Source organism: Homo sapiens, chromosome 14 (assembly GCF_000001405.40).
Source record: "Homo sapiens chromosome 14, GRCh38.p14 Primary Assembly".
NCBI lineage: Eukaryota > Metazoa > Chordata > Mammalia > Primates > Hominidae > Homo > Homo sapiens.
In genome coordinates, this window is record NC_000014.9 from 28760502 (window position 1) to 28770734 (window position 10233).

Genomic DNA, 10233 nt, shown 5'->3' on the forward strand with positions numbered 1-10233 from the left:
CTTCCTGGCTTGCTTACCCCACTCATGAAGTTTTCTCTCCTCTCATTCCTTCAGACCTTTAGTGGGTGCAAGCATTTCCTATAAGATACTTATTAATCTCATATACGGACCTTGAACTGTTCAATGTTTTCCGTGTACATTTAAATATTGAGCGGTGACTAGTTCGAAGGTGACCGGCTAAAAATTGCGAAGGAGTCAGACCTTTCCATCTTTTCTCACACAACTGGAATTTGGGGGACCATTTGGAGGTGTGCTTCAAAAGAGAAGTCTTGGTTCACCCGCCACCCACCCCCACATACACACACACACACCCCTTCTCTAAAAGGTCCTGTAACACTTCCAGAAGAAGATTGAGGCTTCTACTAGAAATCACATTGAAGCTCCAACTAAGTAAGAACAATGATGGGATAGTTAGGAGTTCCAGCTCTTAAGAGTTCAGCATTTTTAGCCCTGTAAGTTTTTCTTTCAGCTTGATATATAGATATATCTATATATAGATATATATATATATATAGATATATATAGTTATTTTCTTTTTTCCTGTTTTGGTGCCCCACTGATGGAAAATCCGAGGTAATATTGTTTGTGGGCTGGCTTTTGCCAAGTCTCACTTTCTTCCTTATGGGATAGAGCTGGGGGTTAAAACTAAGAACCTGAGCTCTAGCCTCCTTCATTCTAGTTCACCAACACCCCTTCAGCTCTTTGTTTTGTTTTGTTGTGCTGTGTTATGGTTGTTTGTGGAGCTTCCCCTATCTCCTTTGAAAGACTGACTACACCATTTCCTTGGGTAACTAGAGGAAAAATAGGAATCGGCCTCTCAGGGGCACTTCCCCAGGCTGTGTGGGACCATTTCTCACAACTGGATCAGGTCTAAAAATGGAACAGGTCCGCCCTCACACTATCAGGGACTCAAGTCCTTCAGCAAATCACTCACCCTCTGGAGGGCACTGGCAAAGAACGCGAAACAAGTAAAAGGGTAGTGGACATTATGTTTACAATGTTTACAAGAGATGTACAGAGTATTCGACTGAGAAGTTTTTCCAGAGACTAAAGTCCCTTGGCCCTCTGGTGGTATTTCGTCATGGATCTTTCCACGCCTGGCTCTCCCTTGGCTAATGTCGGGACAAAGCTTCTCCCATGCACATTTTGCTGAAGATCACGGGACTTTTCTTTTGGCTGCGTACGTACTTGGCTTCAGAGAGCCTGGAACACCTGGCAGCGTCACAGAGACTTGCCTGGAGAGTCCCAGGGGTCTCTGTCAAGGCCTTCTCCTCATCCTTGTCCTCTTCCTCCTCCTGCTCCTCTTCTTCGCCTTGGACTTTCTCCCTTTTAAAGTGGCTCCCTAGCTTACACAAGCTAAACATTTCCACTCTCATAGACGAGGCTCTCCCATAGATTTTTTTACTCGAGGTTCTCAAGCAAAATTGCCGGTGCCACAATGTTATGATGGAAGGATGCTGAAATGACAGGCCTAGTAGACGCTTGTCTTAATCATCGGCTTCTTAATTTAGTTTTAGTGCTGTGTGTGTGTGTGTGTGTGTATGTGTGTGTGTGTACACACACGCGCGAATGTGCGCGCCCCCGGGGACGTTGAGGGTGCGCGTGCGCGCGCTGAGAGCAGCCACTGACAACCTGCAGCTCCCTAATGAGTGACGAGGCAGGGCTGCTGCAGAAAAGTAACACTTCCCTGGTGTGAAGACCTCTTACTGAGAAGTTTAGTTCACTACTGTTCTCGCAAACCTAATCGTATAACCTGTAACCAAAACCCACAGAACGAGGATACAACACGCTAAAGAGTAACTTCTAATCACTAAATGTTAGCACCATTACCTGCTGTTAGGAAGATATTATAGACGAGTTGGCTCCAGCGAGGGCAGACCTCACCTGCCACAGGATCTCTGGAAATACCTGGATGCCTCTGTATGGGATCTCCTCACTCCCAAACGTCACAAGGTCAGAAATTCTCTGTGCATCTGCAGGAAGAGAACTTTAGCTAGAGCTTGGCGCTGGGTGCCACTCCAAGGACACCCTGTCCAGGGAATGGAGAGCAGAGTGGATTTTAGGTAAATGGGGCCCACCTTCCTTTAACCAGCAGCTAGCAAGAAGAAAAGAGGCGGATCACTGACTGAAAACAGGAAAGAGGCCCTAAAGAATACTTAAATAACACCGCCAAATGGAAAAATGAAATGTTCTGCTCCCTACTCGGATGAAGTATGCTGTGTAGCCTTGGTTATTAATTAAAACTCCAGAAGGAATAATCTAATTCATTTCCTAACCAATTCTTCCATTGGAACTGCTCACTCTTTACGGGGCCTGACCTCTTTGGGAGAGCTGGGGGACTGCAGACAGAGCAAGAGAGAAGTTTACTGTGATATATACCAGAAAATTACATTTACTTTGACTTCTGCTTTTATTCATTAATAGTACACATTTGTAGATGTCTGTGTGAGAGATCAAGGTTAGATCCATCATGAGAAAAAAATTAGAATGATAGAGAATTTGTTTCAGGTCTGAGACAACTGAATTCCCTCTGTCTTCTGAAGGTAATCACGGTGACTGAGTGGGGCTGAAGATTGGGCTTCCAGTGCTTAGGGAAGAGGCCCGAGGTGGACAGAGGCAGGCCTTCAAATCCAATTTGCACCCAAATTGGCTGGTAGGATATACAAAGCCCCATCCAGAGACTTTCAACTTGCACAATACTCTGTCCAGGACCCCCCTCCCCCTCCATTTCAAATAGTAGCAGTTCTTTAAAAAAGCTATTGCTGAGACAAACACGGGGTGCTGAGTAAACAGTGCATGTTTTGTTGAACAAGCTATATATATATACATATATACACACACACACATATATATGTGTGTGAGTATATATATATATCACCATCTCGACATAAAGTGCAATTGAAATTATTAAAAGGAATTAAAACTCACTTCTTGCCAGATTACAAATAACTTTTGTCATTAGGAAGAATAGATTTTTAAATATTACATTAAACTATATACTATTTATGCCCATAAGAATATCCTATTTTGAGAGACTTGCATTCATGCAATCCTTAAACTATATAACATAGCCTTAATTTGAATGAAAAACATTTTCCCAGTCAATATGAGCTCCTAGCATATAAAATCAGATTATTACAGTGCTCATTAGCAAACCCCAGTTTTTGCTATTTGAAAGTAAACAGAAGAAAAACTTATTTCCACCTGCTAAAATTTTATACAGGATTACAAAACAATGCACGCTCAGATTTGACCTAAGAAACACCTTAAAACATTAAAAATTCATCAGTCAGAGCTGGTGTTGTATTGAAGGAAAGCTCCTCCAGTTTGCTGCTGAGCTCGGATTTGAATAAAATGTCCAATGTTAACAAACAATACCCACGTTTGGCACTTTGTGTATTAAATTGATCAAACAGATTTTAGGAGGCACAATGCACAATTTGTACAGACCTGATTGAGTTAATATAATATCAGCAAATTTTACATCGAAATGATTCTGTTTCTTTTCTTTGTGTTTAAAACCAGCACAGATTACAAATTTTAATGATCTGAAAATGTTTGGTATACAAAATCATGCTTATTTCAGTATTAGCAAAAACACAAGAAATTTTTCAACACAAACACCCAGCTGTGTCTATTTTAAAAGCAGTTCAATGACAGCTTGCACTTATGAGCATGCAATCAGCTAATTTCGTTTTTTTTTTCTTCTGTGTTAATCAACACTTTCCTTCCTGCATATCAGAGTACAAATAGTATAGTTACTCCACATCAGTAAATGTTTACGTAACCTGTCCTTTCCCAAGAATCCGGTTACACCGAATCATTTCACGCTAGACCGACTACGAAAACGTACCGGGCCGTCCACCTCAGAGGGAGCCCTGTGTGCCATTATAAGTGGTGGTGAGAAGGGGGGCTGTAAGAGGAGAAATTGGGAGGAGTAGGTGGAGGAATGGAGAGACAGAGGAATGGAGGGTGGGGGGAAGGGGCGGGGGGAGCTAAGGGAGAAGGAGGGAGGAGGGAGGAAGGAGAGTTGAGGAAAAGTAGGAAGAACGGGCCTGAAGAGGGGAGAAGAGTGGGAGGAGGAAAAGTGAGTAGGAAGGGGAAGGCCCACAAATCTCTCCAGCCGGTAGGCAAAGCCCATTAGCTCACCCGGCCCTGCGAGAAATCCAGAGCTTGGAAATAAATGTTTGGGACCATGTCACTATCAACACTGATTGTTGGAACCCTTGAATTTTTCCACATGTAAATACAGTTTGTTTTAAAGTGAGAAGATATGTAGACATAGGTAAAGATACATACATACAGTGGAAGGACATTTGAGGTTAGTCCAATATTCAAAGCTCCTTTGTGGCATTCCTAATAGATGCATATTTAAAATTCACTAGCTATTTGTAATTATCTATTATTCTCTCCAGTTTCCTCCCCCCCCCCCAACCTTTTCTCTCTTTCTCTTTCTTAAGACTGGGGGTGGGGAGGATGGAATAACCCCCTATTATCCTGAGTATTCATCAACCGCATTCTTTATGTTACAATTTAACTTTAGGATCAAGCATAAGCACCAATTTTCCTTCCTTCGTTTTCTTAAATACCAAATCTGCCAGATATCTTAATGAAAGTTTATCCAAGTGAAGAAATGCTTACATTTTATAATTATTTACCTTCTAGAGGAAGGAAAAGGTGCCTTTCATTTATGCTTCTCCACCTCCCTCTTCTCTGGGGCTACATCCTCCGTAAAATGTGGTATGTTTCGTGCCCATGTGGGATGAAACAGCCTTTGATCAATGTGCTCCCCACTAAATTCCAATCCCTGGGAAATGCTGGGCCTTAGCCCTGCCCCTGGCCACGGGATCCTTTTAAAGCCCCCGATTCGCAATTTCCCCATTCACTTCAACCTCCAACCGAACCTTCCCAGTTCCAAAGCCCAAGAAGCTGGGACTGTGAGATCCACGTTCCCAAGGCTCCCCGGTGCTTTCCAGCAGCACTCAGGGTTGGCAAGAGCTGGCTTCAGTATACTGTTATTTCAGGAATGAGGCCCGCACAAAATAAAAGCATTTGAGAAACGGAAAGGAAAAAAAAGGAGTGAAAATAGGAAGGCTTAAAAAAAAAACCGGAAAGAAATAGACGCCCACCCTTATTTTCCCTCCAATGTCAACAAGCAAAACGAAAATATTTCCAGGGTGATCGCTCGCAGCTACCCGCTTCCAATTCGGATTAGAAGCTGAGGCTGGAGCGGCGAGGAGAAAACGACATCGAGTCACCCCGCGCGTGAGCGACGCTCTGGAGCAGGAGAGAAGGAAAAGGAAGAGACACACGTATATAGCATGTGTTACCTGATTTATTTCGAGATTGTTTGGTACTGTTTTCTCTCTGGGCACCTCTCATTTCGGAAGGCCATCAGAGGCGCCCACTACTGAGCGGCCCCGGCCGCCGCAGCAGCACCCGGAGCCCCAGTCCCGGTTTCCCCGCGGTGCCGGAGCCCGGAGCTCGCCGCCGCCCAGGCCTCAGGAATCGAGTAAGTAACCCCTGTTTGGCCCCGCGCTCCTCTGCCCACTTCCTCCTCCTCATCTCATCGCTCCCAAAGCTCTCCCACACCCTCCTCCCCCGAAGTAAAGGACACCCCCGCACACACGCCAGCGGTGGGCCTTATCTCCCCCCTTATCCAAAGCTGCGCTAGACTATTACCTACAAAGGGCACAATTTTCCTGCTGGCTCAGAAATGCCAGACACTGGCCTGCAAGGCCGACTCGGAAAAGTAGTGCCTCGCCTCTACCTCCTCCATTTCCTGCCCTCTCGCATCCTCTCCCTGCACTCCCACTCTTCCCACTACCACCACCACCCCCGCTTTCAAAAATAAAATTGGATACAAACTTTAATCACTAAGGACAAATATTGACGCTTAAACGAAAATGACCCAGTACAATGAGGAGGAAGCCGGAAATGTGAGCTATTGGCCCTAGGAGGGGAATTTCGGTGGAGCGGAGCCGGCGGGGTGGAGGGGGTGGCGGGGGCGCAGGGAAGGGCTGCGGCACCGCGTGCTCCCGCCGGCGTATCCCTACGCGGCTCCGCGCGGCCTCGGGGTCCGAGGCCCGCGGAGAGGGGGAGGCGAGCGCCCGAGGGGGCGGCAGCCGGCGGGCGGGGCGGGGGTGGGTGGGCCCGGCCCCTCCGATTGGTCGACGGCGAGAGAGACGCTCCCGCACGCCGCCAGCTCTGATTGGCCCAGCGGTAGGAAAGGTTAAACCAAAAATTTTTTTACAGCCCTAGTGTGCGCCTGTAGCTCGGAAAATTAATTGTGGCTATAGCCGCCTCGATCGCTGTCTCCCCAGCCTCGCCGCGGCCGCTCCGGGACGCGCCCGCCCGCCGCCCGGCTCTCCCCCCCTTTGGGCTGCTGCTGCTGCTGCTGTGACTGCTGCTGCGAGAGGAGGAGGAGGAGGAGGAAGCAGCGGGGGGGGGAGCGGGGGGTGGGGGGGGAGACCAAGAAGTACAGTTGGGAGCGAGGGAGCTTCACCCCCGGGGCGGTGGTTGTTTCTTTTTTCTTTCTTTCTTTTTTCTTTTCCTTTTTTTTTTTTTTTCTAATTCCTGAGGGGTGGTTGCTGCTTTTGCTACATGACTTGCCAGCGCCCGAGCCTGCGGTCCAACTGCGCTGCTGCCGGAGCGCTCAGTGCCGCCGCTGCCGCCCGCGCCCCCCGCGCCCCGTTCGGCACCCACCGGTCGCCGCCGCCCGCCGCGCCGCTGTCCCGCTCCCGCGCCGCCGCCGCCGTTTCCCCCCGACGACTGGGTGATGCTGGACATGGGAGATAGGAAAGAGGTGAAAATGATCCCCAAGTCCTCGTTCAGCATCAACAGCCTGGTGCCCGAGGCGGTCCAGAACGACAACCACCACGCGAGCCACGGCCACCACAACAGCCACCACCCCCAGCACCACCACCACCACCACCACCATCACCACCACCCGCCGCCGCCCGCCCCGCAACCGCCGCCGCCGCCGCAGCAGCAGCAGCCGCCGCCGCCGCCGCCCCCGGCACCGCAGCCCCCCCAGACGCGGGGCGCCCCGGCCGCCGACGACGACAAGGGCCCCCAGCAGCTGCTGCTCCCGCCGCCGCCACCGCCACCACCGGCCGCCGCCCTGGACGGGGCTAAAGCGGACGGGCTGGGCGGCAAGGGCGAGCCGGGCGGCGGGCCGGGGGAGCTGGCGCCCGTCGGGCCGGACGAGAAGGAGAAGGGCGCCGGCGCCGGGGGGGAGGAGAAGAAGGGGGCGGGCGAGGGCGGCAAGGACGGGGAGGGGGGCAAGGAGGGCGAGAAGAAGAACGGCAAGTACGAGAAGCCGCCGTTCAGCTACAACGCGCTCATCATGATGGCCATCCGGCAGAGCCCCGAGAAGCGGCTCACGCTCAACGGCATCTACGAGTTCATCATGAAGAACTTCCCTTACTACCGCGAGAACAAGCAGGGCTGGCAGAACTCCATCCGCCACAATCTGTCCCTCAACAAGTGCTTCGTGAAGGTGCCGCGCCACTACGACGACCCGGGCAAGGGCAACTACTGGATGCTGGACCCGTCGAGCGACGACGTGTTCATCGGCGGCACCACGGGCAAGCTGCGGCGCCGCTCCACCACCTCGCGGGCCAAGCTGGCCTTCAAGCGCGGTGCGCGCCTCACCTCCACCGGCCTCACCTTCATGGACCGCGCCGGCTCCCTCTACTGGCCCATGTCGCCCTTCCTGTCCCTGCACCACCCCCGCGCCAGCAGCACTTTGAGTTACAACGGCACCACGTCGGCCTACCCCAGCCACCCCATGCCCTACAGCTCCGTGTTGACTCAGAACTCGCTGGGCAACAACCACTCCTTCTCCACCGCCAACGGCCTGAGCGTGGACCGGCTGGTCAACGGGGAGATCCCGTACGCCACGCACCACCTCACGGCCGCCGCGCTAGCCGCCTCGGTGCCCTGCGGCCTGTCGGTGCCCTGCTCTGGGACCTACTCCCTCAACCCCTGCTCCGTCAACCTGCTCGCGGGCCAGACCAGTTACTTTTTCCCCCACGTCCCGCACCCGTCAATGACTTCGCAGAGCAGCACGTCCATGAGCGCCAGGGCCGCGTCCTCCTCCACGTCGCCGCAGGCCCCCTCGACCCTGCCCTGTGAGTCTTTAAGACCCTCTTTGCCAAGTTTTACGACGGGACTGTCTGGGGGACTGTCTGATTATTTCACACATCAAAATCAGGGGTCTTCTTCCAACCCTTTAATACATTAACATCCCTGGGACCAGACTGTAAGTGAACGTTTTACACACATTTGCATTGTAAATGATAATTAAAAAAATAAGTCCAGGTATTTTTTATTAAGCCCCCCCCTCCCATTTCTGTACGTTTGTTCAGTCTCTAGGGTTGTTTATTATTCTAACAAGGTGTGGAGTGTCAGCGAGGTGCAATGTGGGGAGAATACATTGTAGAATATAAGGTTTGGAAGTCAAATTATAGTAGAATGTGTATCTAAATAGTGACTGCTTTGCCATTTCATTCAAACCTGACAAGTCTATCTCTAAGAGCCGCCAGATTTCCATGTGTGCAGTATTATAAGTTATCATGGAACTATATGGTGGACGCAGACCTTGAGAACAACCTAAATTATGGGGAGAATTTTAAAATGTTAAACTGTAATTTGTATTTAAAAAGCATTCGTAGTAAAGGTGCCCAAGAAATTATTTTGGCCATTTATTGTTTTGTCCTTTTCTTTAAAGAACTGTTTTTTTTTCTTTTGTTTACTTTTAGACCAAAGATTGGGTTCTAGAAAATGCACTTGGTATACTAAGTATTAAAACAAACAAAAAGGAAAGTTGTTTCAGTTGGCAACACTGCCCATTCAATTGAATCAGAAGGGGACAAAATTAACGATTGCCTTCAGTTTGTGTTGTGTATATTTTGATGTATGTGGTCACTAACAGGTCACTTTTATTTTTTCTAAATGTAGTGAAATGTTAATACCTATTGTACTTATAGGTAAACCTTGCAAATATGTAACCTGTGTTGCGCAAATGCCGCATAAATTTGAGTGATTGTTAATGTTGTCTTAAAATTTCTTGATTGTGATACTGTGGTCATATGCCCGTGTTTGTCACTTACAAAAATGTTTACTATGAACACACAGAAATAAAAAATAGGCTAAATTCATATATATCTTGATACTTTTGTCTCTTTTATTAAGTAGAGCTAATTTTTTAAAGACCAATCAACTTATAGGGAATTCAAAGGCTTTTTCAGCCAAACTAAAATTTAAACTGCTCCTTTAATTTGAACTGACTCTAAAAATGAAAATAGTATTTTTCCCTTTGTGAACAAATTTTACAAGGAGCAGCCTATTTAATAAACACTAGCTTTAAACAAAGTATAGGCTTTTCAGCTGATACCTGTAAGTTTCTGTGGATATACAGCAAAAAGAGATATAATTTAATTTTCTGTGCATAGCTCTTTACCCTGTGTTTATTTCCAAATCCATTAATAGAATGCCATTTATATATTTTGTTTCAGGTATATTGTTAATAGAGCTTGGCAAATTATAAATAAATATATGTATATGGTTAGATAGAAGTGACTATAATGCACACATATGTAATATATATAGACACACAGAGCCCTTCAGTTCAGGTACAATTTGCGCTATGAATGCTGCAAACATTTTTGTTTAAATATTTGTATTTATACTTTCTAAGTCAGCATTTATTTTTGTGGCTGTTTACCCACAATGAAAGAGTTCTAATAAAGATGTGCTGAAGTTGCAATATAGATTTTGCTGAAGTGATCACCTGTTTAATGACTTGCAGATCAATGTTTATATTTTATTTTAAAATTATAACAATTTAGAATTCTAGATATTCAGAAGTAAAATGCCTCTTTTTTTAATTTTTACAATGTAGAGGTATTTATTTGATTCCCTTTTAAATGTCTGTGTAATTCAATCTAGAGATTTGTTCCTTTTGTTTAGTCATAATTTTAACTTTCCATATGCATATGTATGCATATACTGTATATGCGTATATATGTGAGACAAAATGAAAACATTTTTTGAATTGTTTCAGGCAGCCCAATCGCTATAATTGCAGAAAATAATTAGAAAACCTTAGTAAAAGGTTTAGTAACTAATTGGATCCTGTGGTGAATCTGTGGAGGACAAGTTGTTCATTTGTTACAATTGTATAGTCTGAAATGTGTTCTGCAGTATTGGAATAAGCTGGTTACTTCT

General features: G+C 47.2%; 1 protein-coding gene and 1 long non-coding RNA gene across 2 annotated transcripts in view, besides 1 other annotated feature; one reads left to right on the top strand and one right to left on the bottom strand.

Moving 5' to 3' along the window:
* Positions 1 to 4818, bottom strand: part of FOXG1-AS1 (FOXG1 antisense RNA 1) — a 40078-nt gene extending 35260 nt beyond the window's left edge. The window contains exons 1-2 of the long non-coding RNA NR_125758.1: positions 4659 to 4818; positions 1831 to 1973 (exon numbers count right to left, since the gene is read on the bottom strand). This is a non-coding gene — a long non-coding RNA (FOXG1 antisense RNA 1). The remainder of the gene's footprint in view (positions 1 to 1830; positions 1974 to 4658) is intronic.
* Positions 5417 to 5941: an enhancer, noted in NCBI's record as "H3K4me1 hESC enhancer chr14:29235124-29235648 (GRCh37/hg19 assembly coordinates)". NCBI's record gives its function as "activates a minimal SCP1, AML or CMV promoter by ChIP-STARR-seq in primed H9 embryonic stem cells {active_cell/tissue: H9 hESC(primed)}" and the evidence as "EXISTENCE:reporter gene assay evidence [ECO:0000049][PMID:30033119]".
* FOXG1 (forkhead box G1) lies at positions 6286 to 9776 on the top strand. Its single transcript, NM_005249.5, has one exon. The coding sequence runs from the start codon at positions 6779 to 6781 to the stop codon at positions 8246 to 8248; it is 1470 nt and encodes a 489-aa protein (NP_005240.3). The 5' UTR covers positions 6286 to 6778; the 3' UTR covers positions 8249 to 9776.